Genomic DNA, 20,548 nt, shown 5'->3' with positions numbered 1-20,548 from the left:
CTCCATAACTCCTACTGCTCTCTATCACTAAACTAAATGACCACTTACAATAACCCCAACATGGGTGAAAGGTCGTTTGAAACTCCATAGTCTTTCTTTTGATTATATGCATCAAATACTACTTGAAATATAGTGGGCCATTTGCCAGATCTTGTAAAATGTGTTTTCATTCTAAAACACTTTTATAATGTTCATTATGACTTGATCTTAGGGATATGCCTAATGAAATATGATTTGGTAAAATATGAAGCATAAAATATAAAATTTAGCCCATTTTTTCTCATAAATCTCTGATTCTAAATATATTTGTTGTTATTTTTTGAAAATACGACAAAAAATGATTTTTATGGCAACCCCAGTTTGCTCCTTAAAAGTAAAAACTCCGTTTTTTTATGATCCCTAGGTATCAATTAAGGGTCCAACTTTCCACGGCCCATTCCACTAGATTAAAATGACCTTCACTTCAAGAATTATGGGAACACCTTCCTGGTATAGAGGAACAGAATAGAACATCCTTTCTGGAGGACCAATGAGAGGAGATTGGCCATCCCTCCCTTGTACCTCTCCTTCTCTTCTTTCCTTTCTTAGTCTTCTGCTTCTTTCCTCTCTCCATCTCTCCTCTTCTTCTCTTTGTTCCAGCTCTGATTTTTTGTCATTCTTTTGTCTCTTTTGTACTTTTCCATTCCCTTTCTCCTTTCATTCCTTCTTTCCTCCAACACCTCCGTTTTCAGTTTAAAGCCATAATCCCCTCAAGTTGAAAGGAGGAAAATCTCTGGTCCAGTTCAGAACTTTAGTTTTTTGATGACTACTTTATAAAACTAGGAAACCTCCATTGTGATCCCAAAAAACATCATCTGTGCTAGCTCTTCACCTGGGTAAAACTGTGTCTGCATTCTTCATAACTCAAATTTCAAAGGAAACAATCTTCATTGTCAGCCATTTCTAAAACACCAAATTAGTAATACACTTATAAAGCACATGAAGAATTAAATTTTCCTCTTATGATCTTTTATATCATGGTATCAGTTAAGCTTGTTATGCTGCTTTCTAGCAGTTTTGTCTTTCTAAAATGAATTACAGCCGGCTATGCCTTCTTACCATGTTCTAAACATAAATTATGCAACATATACCAAAACATACAATGCATGCACTAGAGTTTGGAGATCATTAACTGACTTTAGTCAAACATCGACCTAGTGTGAGTCAGTAAATGCCAGTTTTGAGGCCAGATGAAGTTCCAAATCGTCACATTCTGTAACTTACAGAATTTTCATGACTATGTCAAGCATATTACCAATGTATATACTTTGTGTGTGCCTTTTGTTTTTTAAAAAGCACACTCCCTTAATTTTTGGTGAAAGAATTCCAGTTACATTATTTGCGCATATTTACATGGATGTGCATACTCAAGAAAAAAATAACAAATCCAGAAAAAACAATGAGGTTCTTAGAATGAAACTTTGTTTAACCATATTGGGTGAATATTTCCCAAAACTAGCATTATCACCTTTTTCCATTTTATTGAATCCATACATACCACGACTCTAAAAACCTGCTCTACTTTAGTAAACATATAACAAAAAAAGAATCTTATATTTAGTAAAAGCAGGAAGTTGGAAGAGTTGTAGGGTTTTAATGCTCAGTATCTTAAACAAGTATAGCCCCACAATATTTACTAGCATCTAGCCCTCTCTTATGCACCCTTACTAAGAAAATTAAAGAAGAAGACATTTCTATACATGTTTTATTTTTGAAACTGCAGCTGCTGCGGGCAGAGATCTCATAACAGAACATGCTTTGTTCTTAGAAAAAGGGAAGATGCTGAGTGTAGCCGGCAGCTTGCCCTGGCAAGAATAAGAAGAGAAGGCATCATCTTCTCCCTCCTGCTCATGATTCCTGGCTCAGGCACTCTACCAGCTCTTTCCTGATTCCCTAGAGTGAAGAGCAATGGCTGTGAGTGCTTCAAACTCCGGGAGCAGTTTTGAGGCTTCAAAGCACAGCCCCTGACAGCTGTCCTTCTCTTTTCCTTCTCCACTAAAGCAGTATCTACAGTAAATATGAAACATTGAAGAAAAGGGAATTGCAAATGCAAATACCCCTCTACCATTTCATAGTAAACCTTCTTCCTTCCATGTATCTCTCTCTCTCCCTCTCGTCTCCTGTCACATCCTGCTCTCTCTACCTCTTCTTCACTTCATCAAATGTTTTCATCAAATGTTCTAAACAGGCCATTTTAGGAAGTTGAATAATTGCTCTAGACATGAAATAAAACAGGAGCTTTGCTCCTTATTCCAACAACCCTGTTCTTTGGAAATTGGTATAAAAATCCAAGATGAAAAGTATCTGCCAAGAGTGGCAGCCAAGCAGAATGCAGCTCTTCACATAATTCCAACTGCCTGCTTCATGCATCATGCTCAGAGGGAAGAGTCAGGAAAAATAAATGTCAAAATGGTACATAAGCAAGCAGACAGTGTACTGCAACTTCTTCAAAAAGCAGTTCCTTATTTATATAGGAAGACATTTCTAGCATGTTTTCCTACAAAGTTCCTGACAGCAACTTTATGTTTTTATTTCAAATTTAACAGGAGATCTGCATCAGATCAATTTCTTTCACCCACTTTTAACGTTAGGAAATCAGATATGAGTACTATATAATTGTCCTCTAAGACACTAACATTAAACTGATATCTGTTGCTGGCAGAAAACTGGGGGTATAGTGAGTGCAGCTAGGTGTAAAAGTGGGCGTGGTCAAGTCACTTAATTTCTCAGAGCCTGGTTTCTTTTCTGTATAATGAGGGAATTGAAGAGATGATTTCTGGGATTTTTTCCATTCTCACAGTCTACATTTCCTTTGATCTCACAGAAATCACATTTTAGTGGGAGATATAGGCAAGAAAACAGACAATTATAACATAAATGCTAAAATAGAGAAAATATAGAATGATGTGAAAGTAAGTAAGAAACACAGGCAATCTGGATTTACAGATTCAGCAGTCATACCAGATAAAAGCCCCCTGAATGAGATTTCAAGTTTTTTAAAGTTCTCCCTTTAAAGAAAAATGACTGCTATTAGACTAGGAGTAAAATGCTGTGGTCAAAAGATATTGAAAGATAATTTAATTTAATGCAACAATAATTGCTCTATGTGACTTATGGAATAATAATACCCTTGGGGCTTGTTTTAATGGTCCATCTATGGAATGATGTCATAATGTATCATCTGAAAACAACCTCATACAAAAATGTCAAAAGCAAACAATATCATCATTTTCTATATCATATATAGTGCATAATTAACTTAATTCTTGTTGTTTTTATTTGTTTTGTTTTGTTGCCTTGTCATTACCCATCTATGATGATAAGGAACATTTTTTCCTCTTTACATATAGCATTCTAAGAACTTTCGACTGGAATGTTATTTCTCTTTTGAATAACTAATCAGGATATGTACTTCTCTTCCTCATAGCTAAGTAATTCATAGATTAACTTAATATTTCTGGGTTTCTTTTCTAGCCACAGTCAGAGTGGAAGTGGAGGTAAGCCACACGCTTCTTAAAATGACATTTTACAATTGATACATATATTGGCATGTATTTATGGAGCACATGTGTTATTTTGTTACATGCATAGAATGTGTATTGTTCAAGTCAGCGTATTTAGGCTATCCATCATCATGAGCATTTATCATTTTTATGTGTTGAGAACATTTCGAGTTCTCACTTCTGGCTATATTGAAATGTACAATGTATTATTGTTAATTATAGTCACCCTACTCTACTATTAAGCATTAGAACTTATTCCTTCTATCTAACTGTATGCTTGTACCCATTCACCAATCTCTCTTCATGTCCCCCCAAACACATTCTTACATCCCTCTCAGCCTCTGGTAACAATCACTCTACTCTCTACCTCCATGAAACAAACTTTTTTAGCTCCCACATATGTGTGAGTACATGCAGTATTTGTCTTTCTATATCTGGCTTATTCCACTTAATATGACTTCCAGTTTCATCCATATTGCTGCAAATGACATGATTTCATTCTTTTTTTTTTATGACCAAATAGTATTTCATTGCGTATAGACAAAATTTTCTTTATCCATTCATCCAATGATAATTAGGTTGATTCTATATCTTTGCTACTGTGAATAGTGCTGCAATACACTTGGGGATGCAAATATCCATTTGATATACTGATTCTCTTTCCTTCAGAAAAATATCCAGTAGTGAGATTGCTGGATTGCATGATAGTTCTATTTTTAGTTTTTTTGAAAAATCTCCATAATGACTGTATGAATATATATTCCCACCGACAGTATGAGTTTCTTTTTTTCCACATCCTTGCCAGCATCAGTTACTATTTTTCTTTTTGATAACAGCCATTCTAACTGGGGTAAGATGATTAGTGATGTTGAGCATTTTTTCATATGCCTGTTGGCCATTTGTATGTCTTCTTCTAAGAAATGTCTTTTTAGATCCTTTGCCCACCTTTTTATGGGATTGTTTGGGAATTTTGCTGTTGAATTGATTGAGTTTTTGTATATTCTGAATACTCATCCCTTTTGAGATGAATAGTTTGCAAATATTTTCTCCCATTCAACAAGCCATCTCTTCACTCTGTTGGTTGATTGCTTTGCCATACAGAAGCTTTTAGTTTAATATAATCCCATTTGTCTATTTTTGTTTTTGTTGCCTGTGCTTTTGGGGTGTTAGTCATGAAATCTCTACCTAGACCAATGTCTTGGAGTGTTTTCTCTATGTTTTCTTACAGTTGTTTTATACTTTTAGGTCTTATGTTTAAATCCTTAATCTATCTTGAGTTGATTTTTATATATGGTGAGAGATGGCGCCTAGTTTTATTCTTTTTCCATATGGATATCCAGTTTTCCCAGCACCACTTACTGATAAGGGTGTTTTTTCCCCAGTGTATGTTCTTGGTGCCTTTTTCTAAAATCAGTTGGCTATAAATATGTGACTTTATTTCTGGGTTCTGTTTTCTGTTTCATTGGTTTTTGTTTCTATTTTTATACCAACGGTATGCTGATTGGTTACAACACAAAATCAGGGAGTGTGATGCTTCCAGCTTTATTCTTTTTGCTCAGGATTGCTTTGGCTATTAATGCTCTTTTTTATTTCATACAAATTTAAGGATTGTTTTTCCTATTCTGTGAAAGATGACTTTGGTATTTTGATAGAGATTACATTAAATTCGTAAATTGCTTTGGGTAATATGGTCCTTTTAGCAATATTAATTATTCTAATATGTGAGCATGGGAAACCATGCACTTTTATCAATAATTTCTTCATAAGCCTTCATCATGTTTGTGTATATTAATGAAAAAAATGCTTTAGTTTACAAATAATGAGAGAGATCTTAATACGATGGAAAGAACACTAGCTTGAGAGTCAATAAACTGGATTCTAGAGCTAGCCAGCAAGTGACTCAGAGTAAGCCACTTCTTTCTTTTAAGTTTGTTACAGATGGTATGGTGACTCCACTCCAATGTGTTCAGGACAGTCTTGACTTATTCCAGTCATCAGAGCACAATTAATAACAGCATTCTCCTTCACTTTTGGAAGTGTTTTTGTTTAGATGATAACCTATCTAGTCACCTTGACTGTAGTTCAATGGCCCCTATATTTCCCAGCAACAAAATAAGGGATTTGATCTAACACTTGCAGTGCTAAAGTTCTCATACTAAAAGTCAAATTTCAAGGTCATTTTACATATTCCTGCACATAGAAACTACTCAATAAACAATTGTTAAGTAAATATCTGTCAAATTGCAAGTTTCCTGAAGAGCATAGAATAACAAATGAAACCAGAAACAGTTTAACTTTCAAAAATATGTATTTTAAAAGTCACTTTTCACTTCTTTCTGTTTCAACTACCATCAATATTTACAAATTCACCTTTCATCCCATTGCTTTTCTTCTCTTGTGTCTTGATCAGTATCTTTTCCTAAATGTCTCCTCACCATTAACTAGTTAGCTAGATTTGTATCACCTCCTCACTTCTTTTTCCACAATAAATATTTAACTCCATGCCCTATTTAAGTTTACTTTTTCTCATGTTTTTGCACCCTCATTCCTTTCAACTCAAGTCCACAGTGCCTCTTAGCCCTCATTTTGTTATTGTAATTTCACCCCTAAGAATTCTTTATAAAATAATCAACAAAGTGTTTTTATTTAAATGGTTTACATGAAAGTGAAATGCTCTCTGCAGTTAAATAAGGAAGATTTACAATTAAAATCTGAGTGAGCATTACATGGCCAAATTATAAAATTAACAGAAGATTTTCCTCCAATCCAAATGAAGGGATATTCCCTCCACCACCAGATGATGACATTTATGATGGGATTGAAGAGGAAGATGCTGATGATGGGTAAGAATAATCAGTGAACTGCTTTTTGCAAATTATTATATATACATTGAAATTTAGTTTTGATTTCCAGTTAAAATAAAAAGCGGAAAATAGTGTTCTTTCTCACATTACCCCAAATGATTTGAATGTTTAATTAACAGCAATTGTAAACCAGGAAGTGTAATTTCACCACACTTCAAACGAAGTGTTTGATTGTTTGGAAGAACTTCAATAACTACAGCAAAACAAGTGAAATGAAAACAAAAGATAAATTACAGGTGTTGTGTATTTTTTTTTTTTTTTTTTTTTTTGAGACAGAGTCTCACTCTGTCGCCCAGGCTGGAGTGCACTGGCAGTTGTGGATATTTTTTAAGTCTTTCCTAATAAAGTCTTTATTGATCAATAATTTACTTTTACAACAATCCCTGAAGAGTTTATCAGTTGCATGGCTATCCCTTGTGTAATAACATGATTATAATATAGGCAACCCAAATAAATTGAGACCTATGCTACCTATGGCAGAACCAGTATTGAATACTTAATCCTTTAACTTAATAATAATTATCTGTTCATTTATAATAATTATAACAATTTATAAACATAAAAATATTTTAGGTCAATAAGAAAATAAATTTTCTTTTTCCATTTTAAATGGCATATTTAAAAGTTTAAGATTTCTTTTTTTTTTTTTTTTTTTTTTTTGAGACCTGAGTTTTGCTCTTGTTGCCCAGGCTAGAGTGCAATGGCACGATCTCGGCTCACCGCAATCTCTGCCTCCCAGGTTCAAATGATTCTCCTGCCTCAGCCTCCCAAGTAGCTGGGATTACAGGCATGTGCCATCATGCCTGGGTTATTTCATATTTTTAGTAGAGACGGGTTTTCTCCATGTTGGTCAGGCTGGTCTCGAACTTCTGATCTCGGGTGATCTGCCTGCCCTAGCCTCCCAAAGTGCTGGGATTACAGGCGTGAGCCACTGTGCCTGGCCTAAGATTTCTTAATTACTTCATTTTAATCATAAATAAAGCAAAATTGATGTCCAAGCTTTTTTTTTTTTTTTTTTTTTTTTGAGACCAGGTCTCACTCTGTTGCCCCAGCTAGAATGCAGTGGTAGGATCATAGCTCACTGCAGCCTCAAACTCCCAGGCTCAAGCAATCCTCCTACCTCAGCCTCTGAGCAGCTGGGACCACAGGTGTGCACCACCACACCCAGCTAATGTTTTTTATTTTTAGTAGAGATGAGGTTTTGCTATGTTGCCCAGGCTTGTCTCAAACTCCTGGGCTTAAGCAATCCTCCCACTTTGGCTTCCCAAAGTGCCAGGATCACAGGGGTGAGCCACCACATCCAGTTCTTTGAAACTTAATCCTTATGGACTTGCTTCACATTTTAAGAAGTGGGAGAATTCTCACTTGATAGAAAAAAAAATGATCAGGTTCGTAGGAGCAGTATTCAATCACCATGATCTGTAAATTTAATAACACTATTTTGTCCAATAAAATGAGTTATTTACTGCCTGAATGATTAATGTGGCCGTAATGATTAATGATTATAAAGAATCTGAATGTCCACACAATGTCTTCACTTGCCGCTGATTATTACATTCTGATCAATGCCTGCATGCTCCAAAGCTCCACACTACAGGTTCAAGAGAAGAGTAATACGTGGTCCTGGGGGATTTTGAAGATGTTAAAGGGAAAAGATGACAGAAAGAAAAGTATACGAGAGAAACCTAAAGTCTCTGACTCAGACAATAATGAAGGTTCATCGTAAGAGTCAACCAACCAAATCCAGTGTACAATAACTACACTAATATGTATTGAATCAAATGCTACTAATATTCTATAACCAATAACCAAATTCTGATAGACTTAAATCATCTTAATGCAATTTTCCGTTAATCATCTTAGCCCCGTTTATGGTGTCACCTTTAAGCTCCTGCATTACATAAAAGAAGGCCAAGTACTCAGAAATCATCATATAGTTCAAAGATATATTTTACTTTCTTCACAAAAATGCACAAAAACACACATGTACACATAATTGCACACATACCCTCTCACGCTCATCCACACAGTCATACACAAACACTGACACACCCATTTACTAGGACCTTTTAAAATATAGCATTACATCTGAAAACTCACAATTCCAATGCCACATTTTACTGCATAGTATTTTATATTGAATACTCTTCAAAATATACATTCTTTTTAATAGTTTGAAATAAAGAACATAATTTTGAATTTTTTTCTCTAAGTACAATAATTAAAGACTTTTAACTATATTACACTCTAATGATATATTAATAATTTTTCCTATACTAAAAGTATTCTAAACATCTTAAGTTTGTCCAAATAAAATCTAAGGCATAACTTTTCTCTTTCTATTCCAAAAATAATCCTTTAGTATAAATTCCATACATATGAATTTGAAAGATCTTAATCATATTCCCTGGTACAAGAAAATCTTTCTGTTTTATATTTAGCTCATGAATTCACCACATTTAGCTCAAGTCTTTATAAGATGTTAATTCCATATAGCATTCCCAATTGGCTTGTAAAACACCAAAGCAACAAGTCAATAAAGAGTACACTTGAAATTCTAGGAAAACACAAGAAACCTTCTCTTGAGCAGCATTACTCAAATATAACCCTTACTTAAAAATGAGAGGGTTTTTTTTTTCTGCTTCAATTACATACTATCCAAATCTGATTTGGGATCATTTGAATTAATGATCCCTCACATTCTATTCTAACCAGTCATTTCTGTTCTGTGCACCATTCTTTCCGTGGTGTGTTTGTGTGTGTACGTGTGTGTGTGTGTGTGTGTGTGTGTGTGTGTGTGTGTGGAGTGTATTTAGAAGTCATATTTCAGAAAATAGAAGCATGGGTCTTCTTCTGTTGCAGCCAAATGCCACTTAATTCTGATTTCAGAGCACTTTAATTAATAAGCTCTCACTCTCTGGTTTAAGTAAATATTCCTCTTATTCACCATTTTCCTGTTTTGGGGTATATATGCACATATTGGGAAACATGGTCATATTCCTGTGACCTCTATTAATTTTGAGTCTGTATTTCTGCTCTTTAATTCAAATAAGCAGTTTGGAGGCAGAATATGTATGCCACGATGCCTCCAAAATACTGAGTCCCTTTCATTTACTCTGGCTTGATATTATGCCCAAACCTCATATAGCAAATCTGGAAATTTTGATCCAGTGGCTATGGGCAAAATAAACCAATTGAGTATCTTGACTCTGGACATTTTGGCAAACATTTGGGGTTCAAAAAATGTCTTGCTAAGTTCCAAATTGATAAACAGAAATGGACTTAGTGGAGAAATGGAGGATGAGAAAGAAATGATGGTCAACAGATGAAGTAACCCAATATGCCTCTAGGCTATTGCCCCTTTATACTCTCCTATATAACGGAATCAATTTCTGTGTTCATGTTAGTCTGATTATAATTGTGTTCTCACTTTCTTTGTAGTTTCCCTGCTCCTCCTAAACAATTGGGTAAGTAATAAAAACTGATTGTATGTTCTGTATCTTCATTTCTTGCAGTGTGGTAGTGGGAAAGCTCTGGATATAGTATCTGCATTAAAGTCTTGACTCTGAAAATAATAAATTGTGTAGCCTTGAGCAAGTAACTTTACCTTGGGTGGTCACAGGTGCTCAATGATAAAATAGCAAGATGAGAAAAATTAAAAAGACTGATAGTTTTTAAACTGTTCTTCCAAGAGCCACTATTGGGTTAGGGATAAGTGGGAAGGGATAAGCACCAATTTTCCCTATATCCCCCAGCCTCAATTCAGTCCAAGCTTGATATATGAGACTTCTGCATAAGGATATCTAAAAACATTCCAGATTACATGCCAGTAAGCCTCTTCTAAATCTAATTTCTTTGAATATTTAAATGGATAGTTTATATTGTATTTGGAAAATGTTAAATATAACAGTTTCTTTATAAAATTTCTATCAGTTACTATTTTTTCATCCCTGCTGAGACAGATCTTTAGATGTTTTTAAAATTTACTTTGAACGAAATAAAATGTTGTCTTAAGAATATTCAGGGGCTTTCAAAAAGTTTATTTATTTTAACTTATAAGTATATTAAAAGAGCAAACCAACACAGAGGTAATCTATTCTTCTATAGACCCTTTATCTGACATTAGAACTTTCTTTTCAGTTATCAATTTGAAAATATGTAAGGGACAAACTCAAGCTGATCAGTGCCTGATAATAAGCTTGTGTTCTAATCTATAATATTTTTAAAGTATTCAAAAAAATTAACTCCTCAAAAAGTGGGTATAAAATGAAACAAAAGTAATCAATTCTGTAAAAAATAAGGTTTTGTTAGAATTGCTTGTTGTTCTTAAATATGTTTTAAGTGCATGTGCACGGAGTAGTAACTTTGACCCTTCTAGATGATATTTTTTAAAGTATTTATTTTTCACGCAGCTGAGCAAGTTTCATCGTGTGAAATTAGTTAACCTGAATACACACGAGGGTGGAGGACATAGAGGGGGAGATTTTATAAAGGAAATAAATTCCTTGCCACTACCAGAGAGTATTTAAACTTTTTATGGTAATAACTCCTTAAAATATTTGCAATTTCTTCAACTCAATCTCTTCAGCTTCATTGACTGTAGAGTAATTAATATGTGCAGGGAGGAAGCATTATTCCTGACTTTATTAGTAAGAAGTCTAGAAGGGAGAAAAAGCTTTAATGATTGGAAAAGCCATTGAACCAGTTAAGATCATGACAACTTTTCTGCCAATACTGTTTCTCAATACCTGTTGGTAACAGAAGTATTTAATTAAAAGAAATAATCTTTCCATTTAAAGGTGGTGCCACTCCTAATATCACTGTAAGGTAAAAGGTAACGGGAAACAGATCAATGAGGCGAAGGAAAGGAGGAAGGAAGGAGAGAGACATTTAAATAGGATGATATATATTATCACAGCACCCTAAATCCCATAAGAATCTCAATTTCTGTCTCTACTTCATCCTGCCAGTGGCCAGTAATGTTGATTTGTTTATCAGCAATTTGCCACTCCTGACATTCATTGCACTTGTAGATCTTCAGATAATCATAGTCACTGTTCCATGAGTTTTTTTCCAGATAACGATGATTATCATTATGGTCACTGGTTTTTTGAATAATTTAACACATGCATCCTGGCAAATAATAACCTCTCCCCTTTCAGAAGCAGACAATGCTTCCAGGAGAAATTTACCGAGACACTAGGACAACTTATTTTATTGTCCTTGAAGCAATCTTTATATTAAAAACATCATTGAATGCTCATATCAAAATCTAAACTAACAGTGTTTCAACCTTTGATATTCTGTCTTTTGTTAGACATGGGAGATGAAGTTTACGATGATGTGGATACCTCTGATTTCCCTGTTTCATCAGCAGAGATGAGGTAATTAAAATGCTTTCATTACAATGAAGTAATGAAAATGAGAATACTCAAGAAAATTCAACTGAAATAAAAACCCAGTGGGATGTGTGTCTACTGTGTGCGATCCTGTTGGCTCTGGACTCCTCTCTAAAGCTATGCTTCCTTCCAATCTCAGCTCTACCCTCCCTGCGAGGTTTGTGAGTAGATAGCCCAAATCCTTTGCCCCCACCTCCACCCCTTCCTCCCCTCATTCTCTTCCATCCTCCTGGTTCTGCTTCTTGTTTCCTGATTAACCTTGGGCCTGTGACTTACTGATGTCTGGTTTATTTATTCATTCATTCACTGGGGAAATATGTTTAAGATCTTGGTCACAACCAGTCTCACTGATTCTTCTCCTCTCTTTATTCATACTGTTTTCCCCAAACCTTTTTTTCTTGAATATACTTCTTAGCTTACATCTCAGCACTCACCCATCTTGTTCAAGCCACCTCCGTCTTCTACAAGATAGTTTCCTTTATGAAAAAAAGAAAAAAAGATTTATTTTTTAAAAGGACTTTTAGGTAGGTTACATTCAAATCTTAAAAAAATTAATTTTAGGCTAAAATTGTATAAAATCAGTTCAGATCAAGTAATACAAAAGGAGTGCCTTTTGGAATTTTTTTTGAAATAGAGAATAACATGGTAGGTTGCTTTCTCATAATCCAATAAATACATGAAATGATTTGATACATACTGAGTATAAAAGCAAGAACACCTATCTAGCTTTTTCAAGAGAAAAGAAAGATGACTCAAAAGATCCTGTATTTGATTAAAGGATGAAAGTAACATAAATGGAACACAGTAAGTTGTGTCTTCTGAGCTGTACTGGTAAAAATGCATGAGTAAACGCTAAGTATTTATTTTTTACCAAAATTGTTAAACTAATTTTATTGAACTAGAGAGAGTATCAAAATCAAAGACTCTGAAGGGAAAATATGCCATCATTCATATATGAAGATCAAGTTCCACAGGCAAAACAAATAAGAAAGATGAAAAGAGAGCCGTTGCCCTTTTTTTAATTCTCCATGAAACAAAAATGGAATCTTCAGTAATATGTTCAGGTTTTACTATTTCTCACCAGTGGTGTTTCAACCCTTGACAGTTGTTAATGCTTTTTTTTTTTTTTTTTTTTTTGCTTTACATTACTGTACATCACATTCCATAAAATCGCTCTCTAGGAACAAAGAGTCACACCTGGCCTTATTCTTCAAACAAAATAAACCCCAGCTAACTAAGCTTTATGTGATATGGACAATTTTCTTCCCCATTTTGCTTATTTTCAGAGTTTAAAGCAAGTTTGTGTTCTCTAATGTCGTATTCTATTTTTAAATAAATTTCAATAAATTTTTTTAAAGATAGCTTGTAGGGCATTTCTAACTTTCACGTATATTCTGATTGCCCCAGAGAGTTAATCTGGGGCAGTAATTCCACAAATGCCCAGACTACCATAGGCAGGCAGTACTGAGGGCAGACGCAGAACCTGATATAGATATTGTGCTAATTCTCTCCACAATGAATGAACGAAAGCTAAGATTCCAAAATTGAGAATTAAACATTTAAAATAAATTGGTTACAAACAAAACTTTATCTTAGATCATCTAAATAAAAATTAATATATTCTAATTTTTAAAATGCTCACTAAAGATATCTATAGCTCTTCCCTACCATCCATAATTTAACTCTAGTGAATGGTTCTCAACCTTGGTTACAAATTAATATCATGTGGGAAGCTCTTAAAATGTGTCTAGCACTACCTGGACCTTGCTCAGACTAAATTAAATTTTAAAATTAATTTAAATTAGAATGTCCAGGAATTGGGCAAGAGCAGTAGTATGCTTTAAAAGCTTCCCAGGTGATCCTGTGTGCGGACAGGCTACAAAAATCACTGTTTTAGGCTTGTTCACTTATATTAGGATAATTGGTATCTACAAAATATAGTGGATTTCTATACCTGGATCCTAGCAGTTTTAAAAAAAGTAAGTCCATTAACTGATCTAAACACTTAGGATGTGCTTATCTTTCTTACTTTCTCCCTCTCCTCCTCTCTGTCTCTGTCTCTCTTTCATACACACACACACACACACACACACACAATTGATAAAGGGATGAAGATAAAGATCAGTAATAACCATCTTTTTTAAAAAGCTCCTTCTTATAATATCTAAAATCTTAACTTTTACTTAAGTTTTTTTATTAACCAAAACTCTAGCTGCATTTTAAGTAGATGTGAACAAAACAACGTATAAATGTTATAAACCATAAAAATTGATTGTTTTTGAACTCTTCTTTTTTAAAAAGCCTTTCTTATGACATTGGCCAAGCTACATAATTATCTAGAAAGGGCTGATAATTTAGGGAGGTTTAAGAATAGATTAAGTCATATGAAACTGCTGACATGCAACCAAGTTTAAACCATGACTCAGTGATTTTATATGGTTCAGTATAAGAACGAATCTAATCTCTCACTTCCATTTTAATTCTCATAATCTATATTTGCTTGAGGAAACCCTCCTACATTATGGAATGTCATCATTTATTACAATGACAGTTACTGGATTTCTAACAAAAAGAATTAACTGAAACAAAAAGTTAAAAATATAATGCTATGAATCGTCTCTGTTATGGACTATTCTTTTTAATTTTCTAAACAAAGTGTTGTTTTATGTGTGTTCTGCCGTTCTAGTCAAGGAACTAATGTTGGAAAAGCTAAGACAGAAGAAAAGGACCTTAAGAAGCTAAAAAAGCAGGAAAAAGAAGAAAAAGACTTCAGGAAAAAATTTAAAGTATGTCATATCTAAATATTATACAAAGTACAAAGCACTATTGAAAAATCCAATGATTTTTAAGTAACAAAAAAAACACTATTGAAAAATCCAATGATTTTTAAGTAACAAAATGCACACTTTAAAGTGTAATTATCAATATTACAGTTAGCCGTTATAACTCTTTTATTTTGAACAAAATTTATTTTAGATTTAAATTTATTTTTATAAAAGATTAAGCAAGCTATAATATGCACAGTATTCACACTGTGATAATCACCTAAATTTAGCTGTCCTTTGAACCTTAATAAGAAAGTACTAAAAATAATTATTATATTAGGTTGGTGAGGTTATGAATGATGTTTGTCCCTCAACATTTTCTTTAATATTCCTACATTATATTTCGAAAACACTGAATTATCTCTTTAGCAAATAACTTTTTAATAAATCCATCCATAAATAAGTTGTTTCAATAATGCACATAAACCAATAATTTAAATATTGTTCTTTTTTTTTTAGTATGATGGTGAAATTAGAGTCCTATATTCAACTAAAGTTACAACTTCCATAACTTCTAAAAAGTGGGGAACCAGAGATCTACAGGTAAAACCTGGTGAATCTCTAGAAGTTATACAAACCACAGATGACACAAAAGTTCTCTGCAGAAATGAAGAAGGGAAATGTAAGTCACTGCTTATACTATAATATGTGCATATATATGTCACTCCAGAATTTAACAACCAAACAAGTTTTAGTGACTACTCTGTGTTTACTAACTCTTATCTATCTTTTTGCCCTATCCTTTGTAAATTGTGGCAAACGTTCAGAAGTTGGTCATTATGCTGTGCTGAAACCAATGTATTTTAATCTCTTTTTATTTACCATATACTATCTATATACTCGGTGTCAAAGATAATGCCAAATTACTGCTTCTCAAAATGCAGTACTACAGACCATCAGCATCAGAAAGCCCTTGCGTGTGTATTAAAATCGCAGTTCCCTGTACCCACCCTTGACTTGCTGAAACATGAGTTCTAGAAATCAGGTAAAAACAGTGATGATAACTTTTTCCCTAGCTTGTTCATGTATACACTAAAGTCAGAACCACTGTGCTAAAGTAGACAGTGTCTCTTGCTCTGGCCTGCTTTTAAAATTATGGAGAATATCAAATTATACAGAATTGTGTAGAATTCTGGATATTTCACACCTAGAATTTCCAGTTTTCTTACCTTACAAATTCACTTGTTTTCATTTCCTATTTGAACACACTTAGTGCAACATACTATTCCAAATAAATCCAAAAAAGTTCCCATCTCCTTTGACTTTATCAGCTATTAAAGCTGACAGATGGGGGCCAGGTGCGGTGGCTCATGCCTGTAATCCCAGCACTTTGCGGGGCTGAGGCAGGATGATTGCTTGAGCTCAGGAGTTTGAGACCAGCCTGAGCAACATAGCGAGACCTAGTCTTTACTAAAAATCAAAGAAAATTTAGCCAGATGTAGCGGTGTGCGCCTTGTAGTCCCAGCTACTTGGGAGGCTAAGGCAGAAAAATATCACTTGAGCTGAGGAGTTCCAAGCCGCAGTGAGCCATGATCGCACTGCTACACTCCAGCTGGGGTGGCAGAGTGAGACCCTGACTCAAGAAACAAACAAACAGAAAAAATTAGAAAATAAAAGAAAACTGACAGATGGAAATATTTTTGTCAAATTTCAAAAGAAAGCGTATTTAAATCCCGAGAAGAGTAATTCAAAATTACATTGTCTTATATTTGAAACTGGATAGCCACTACAGCTGCCCCATATCAGCTTGGTCAATCTGCATGGAAAACATGGACTCTAAGTTTAATTTTAATGGGAGGAAGGTGACTCAGGGACAGGAATTGAAATGGAGTTTCAAGAATAAAACACAGTGACTCAAGGGTGGAGGAAATGGATGTAAAGTTTATCACGGAGGAGGTGTGGTTGGCTTTTCAAAGGAAAATACAGAATGTGGGTACAAAAGATAAAGGGCAGTGGCAGTGTAATATTAAGATTGGAAGTTCACTGAAGATAATGTGTAGAAAGATACCCAGGGGACAAAGAAAACCCCCATTCAGACTAGGATTTGCGAGGATCTACCTTAAGGAATAGCCATAAGTGCTAAAAGAACTATAAGCATCAAAAGTTCATCAAAAAATGTTTAAAAGTTCAAAGATTTTTAAATTATTAAATGTTACGATGAATACACCCAATTGAATGTTCTAAATGAAAATTATGATAGTAATATGATGAATCTCTCATGACATATGGTAGAAAAAGTAAGAAAGCTATTTAATTTGGTGTAGGATTTATAGCCATGTTATAAAATCATGCAAAGAAGAGAAGCTAAACTTAAAAAATAATTAAATACCAAAATAGGAATCAGTCTCAATAAGGTGATGAGTCTAAATGATGTATTTTCTGCCCTCTACTTTCCAAATAATTTCACATTTTTTACAAGAGAGAATTGTCCTAGTAGTTGTCATACAGACCTCTCTCCAGGGCACAAGCAGAAGCTTCTACATATCTTGCCCTTGGTATGGTAGAAGAAATTCTTGCCATAGTGACCTAAGTCTCCTATGCTTAGCAGCAAATCTTATCTAAAGCAACATTCCTCCAACTTTGAAGTGCATACAGATCAATGGGGATCTTGTTGAAATTGCAGATGTGAGGTCTGACATTCTTTTTTTTTTTGCTTATTTTTTTCCACCTTACATTTATAAAAATGGCATGACATTCTACAGTTTATCAAGCTCCCAGGTAATTGATGCTGCTGGTCTTTGGATCAGCATAGATCTTCACATATCCTGAGTAACAAGGATGTTATGATCTCATCAACAAACATGTATGGATATAGATGGACAGGAATAGATACGGCACCAGTGAGAGAAATTCAGAGAAGAGACTCTTATCTTCCTAGGAACCAGCTGACCTTAAGAATAAGTAGCCATTCAGAATAACTGCATAATCTAATATCATTTTCTATTTGAACATCAATAATTCTAAGTACTATTACAAATACTACAGGCCTCCTGTCCTCTTAGAATGTGTCATCTTCTAAGAATGAGAGGTGAAAATGTTTCGTAAACTTCTGATAGATTACAATCAAGAGTTTCATGTAAATATCTTTTTTCTTTCTGCTGCAGTACCAATGCACTTTACAGTTTCCAAGTTCATCGTTAACTACCTAAATTCTTAGATGGCTTTGGGGTACATCTCAGACAGGATGGAAACCACATGGTTATATGGTAGCACTTATATACATGTTGCTTTTTATGTAAAGAGTTTCTATGGGCTGGATTTTGTCTTAGTTTGGCTTCCCCATAAAGTGATTCTGCAAAAATGCCAGTGGCAAGTGAATGAGATAGAGAAGCGAAGGCAGCCGATAAAGTCTTATGATCAAAAAAGTTACCACTTGGATTATTGGAGCTTGATCATGCTGGAGACCTCCAAGTGTCAGTGTTATCCCATCCAGTGGGAAACAAATTGGGGTATTTATACACAAACTCCTGTCCTTCAGGAGCTGAAGTCTATTCCTGGGAAGGTAGGGAGTAATTCAGGATATTCAGCAAGCTGACAGAGTTCCAGAAGCCAGAGAAAAGCCATCAGTGAAAAAATTTTTAAATGCAAGTACTGTCAGTTGGATTTGCAAGTACTCACGTGGTAAGGATGCGGGTGTAAGGGAGAGGCACTAGGAGCATGTTACTGACTTTCGGGTTAAGTATTATTTCATGATTTAATCACCTTATCTGCTTACTTTCATTTTTATTTTTCCTAACTTCCTGCCTTTCTTAATTTGTACAAACCTGCTTACTCCTTCCATGGACTGGGTCCTTGACATTCTTAATTTTTAAAAATAGCTAATTCATTCTTGGCACACCTCTATAAGATTTTTTAACCCTCCCTCTCCTAGATGATTGCAATAGCCTTTCTAGTGATATGTCTATCTTTGCCCTTACACTCAGAATCAACTTCCCCACAATGTTACCCAAATATTATTTTTTAAAATATAGTATTTAGGCGAGCACATAAAACTCTTTATCATCTAGGCTTACCCTCATCCACTGCTGTTTTCCATCTACAACTGACACTCCAGAAATATAAACTATTTACTTGTCATTCCCTGAATAAATTAGGTGTTTTGGCCAGCCACGGTAGCTCATGCCTGTAATCCCAGGACTTTGGGAGGCGGAGGTGGGCGGATCACTTTAGGTCAGGAGTTTGAGACCAGCCTGGCCAACATGACAAAACACCATCTCTACTAAAAATACAAAAATTAGCTAGGTATGTTGGCACATGCCTGTAGTCCAGCTACTAGAGAGGCTGAGGCAGGAGAATTGTTTGAACCCAGGAGGCAGAGTTTGCAGTTAGCCGAGATTGCACCACTGCACTCCAGTCTGGGTGACAGAGCGAGACGCCATCTCAAAAAAAAAAAAAAATTATGTGTTTCATCCTACTATGCTACTTTATTCAACTTGGAATGCCCATGATTCTCTATTAAAAACAACTCAGTTGTCATCTAAAATTAGAAGCACCCCCAGTACCTACTCCTAGCCACACCATCACAATTAATGTCTCCTCAAATCTACCATGATACTTCTTTTGCTGCTGTCATTGTCATTATTGTTTTACCAACCTATTATTCTTATTAGACTCTGAGCTTCAGAGTCACTTCAATGAAATGTTCTCAACATCGTAATGTCAGCACGTTACACAATGCCTTGCACCTTGCGTGGGGCTTGCTGGATTGAATGAAACAATTTGGAAACTGCAGTTGGATAGCCAGATGAAAGTCTGACATACAGATACTCACAGAAAGAAGTCTGCTGAATAGTTTAACTGGTTAGAAGACAGACATTCTCTCCTTTGGCTTTAGTGATGTAGTTAGCTTGTTATATGCCATTGCAGAGCCTCTAAATCTTTTGGTTCCTTATTTCTGCATCTTTGATTACAAATGCCTTTGCATTTGTAACCCAGCACCATGGTGAAACTAATGTTATCCTTACCCTCCATTCTTCTTTAATCCATCAAAGAAAGAAAAGCATAGCTTACTTCAACCTAAATTCGTAATGATAGCAACTAAAGGCTAAAGCAAGAACAACAATCCCTTACCATTACGCAGTGGGACATCAGCCACTTTTACAGGCATTATCACATTCGATCAAGTCTCACCCATTGACTTGTAGAAGTTCCTACTGTGTAGGCGTTGAACTCTTAAATATAAATTTCTGGCACATTTCCAAATGTTTAGAGTTTCTCACTAGTATTTATACATATTCCACAACTCTATGTCTCATAAGCTGTGAGTTTTCCCACCTCCTGTCACTGAAAAAAATTTTCTACAAAAGATGTAGAATAAGATACTTTTTGTCTGAGTTATTTGTGGCCAAAATGCTCTCCATTTTCTTTAGGCATCAAAGACCAAGGGATTTTAAAGGTGCTTTCGATCTTCCCAAATCCAATTGATCATTTTTTTTTAACTTACATAATTTTTTTTTCAATTTTAAAACAACACATGCACACTGAAAGAAAATTTTTAAAATTTAGAGAGTTAAAATGTCGTCCAAATATGAAGCCCCAGAAATAACAATATAAACAGAGAAGAGGGGAAGAGTGAACGTTTTTATAAAACTAGGATAATAATTTATATTCAGTATTATATACAACGCTCTGTTTTTTCTTTTATTATACTATGAGCATTTTCCACTGAAATTGGACATTGTTCCACTTGCCTAGGTAAATCTATGCAATATGATTTTCTTGTTTTTAAACTGCATGAGGCCAAATTGAGTACATTTAATTTTATTTCTGGATTTACCCACAACAAATGAAATGATGAAATAGTATGTTGTCATTTTTATTAAGTAAAAAATTTGAAAATATTAGAATGAAGATAATTTCCACTTTTCCAAAGATTATTTTCTATTTCCTTGGTTAATCTGTATTCACAATACCCTTCT

The 20,548-nt window shown here is 34.6% G+C and overlaps 1 protein-coding gene across 15 annotated transcripts in view; it reads left to right on the top strand.

Moving 5' to 3' along the window:
• FYB1 (FYN binding protein 1) overlaps nt 1-20,548 on the top strand; it is a 169,277-nt gene that overhangs the window by 140,403 nt on the left and 8,326 nt on the right. For 11 of the 15 annotated variants that reach the window (XM_006714464.4, XM_047417073.1, XM_047417072.1 and 8 more), the window contains 7 exons: nt 3,514-3,536; nt 6,319-6,385; nt 7,991-8,128; nt 9,848-9,873; nt 11,724-11,790; nt 14,492-14,591; nt 15,090-15,252. In XM_006714464.4, coding sequence (XP_006714527.1) covers nt 3,514-3,536; nt 6,319-6,385; nt 7,991-8,128; nt 9,848-9,873; nt 11,724-11,790; nt 14,492-14,591; nt 15,090-15,252 — 584 coding nt within the window. Of the gene's footprint in view, nt 1-3,513; nt 3,537-6,318; nt 6,386-7,990; nt 8,155-9,847; nt 9,874-11,723; nt 11,791-14,491; nt 14,592-15,089; nt 15,253-20,548 lie in introns of those variants that run through there. The other 4 variants (XM_011514011.3, NM_199335.5, NM_018594.2 and 1 more) reach the window with 2 other exon arrangements.

Source organism: Homo sapiens, chromosome 5, assembly GCF_000001405.40.
Source record: "Homo sapiens chromosome 5, GRCh38.p14 Primary Assembly".
NCBI classification, from domain to species: Eukaryota; Metazoa; Chordata; class Mammalia; order Primates; family Hominidae; genus Homo; species Homo sapiens.
This window is presented reverse-complemented; position numbering and strand designations above follow the sequence as displayed.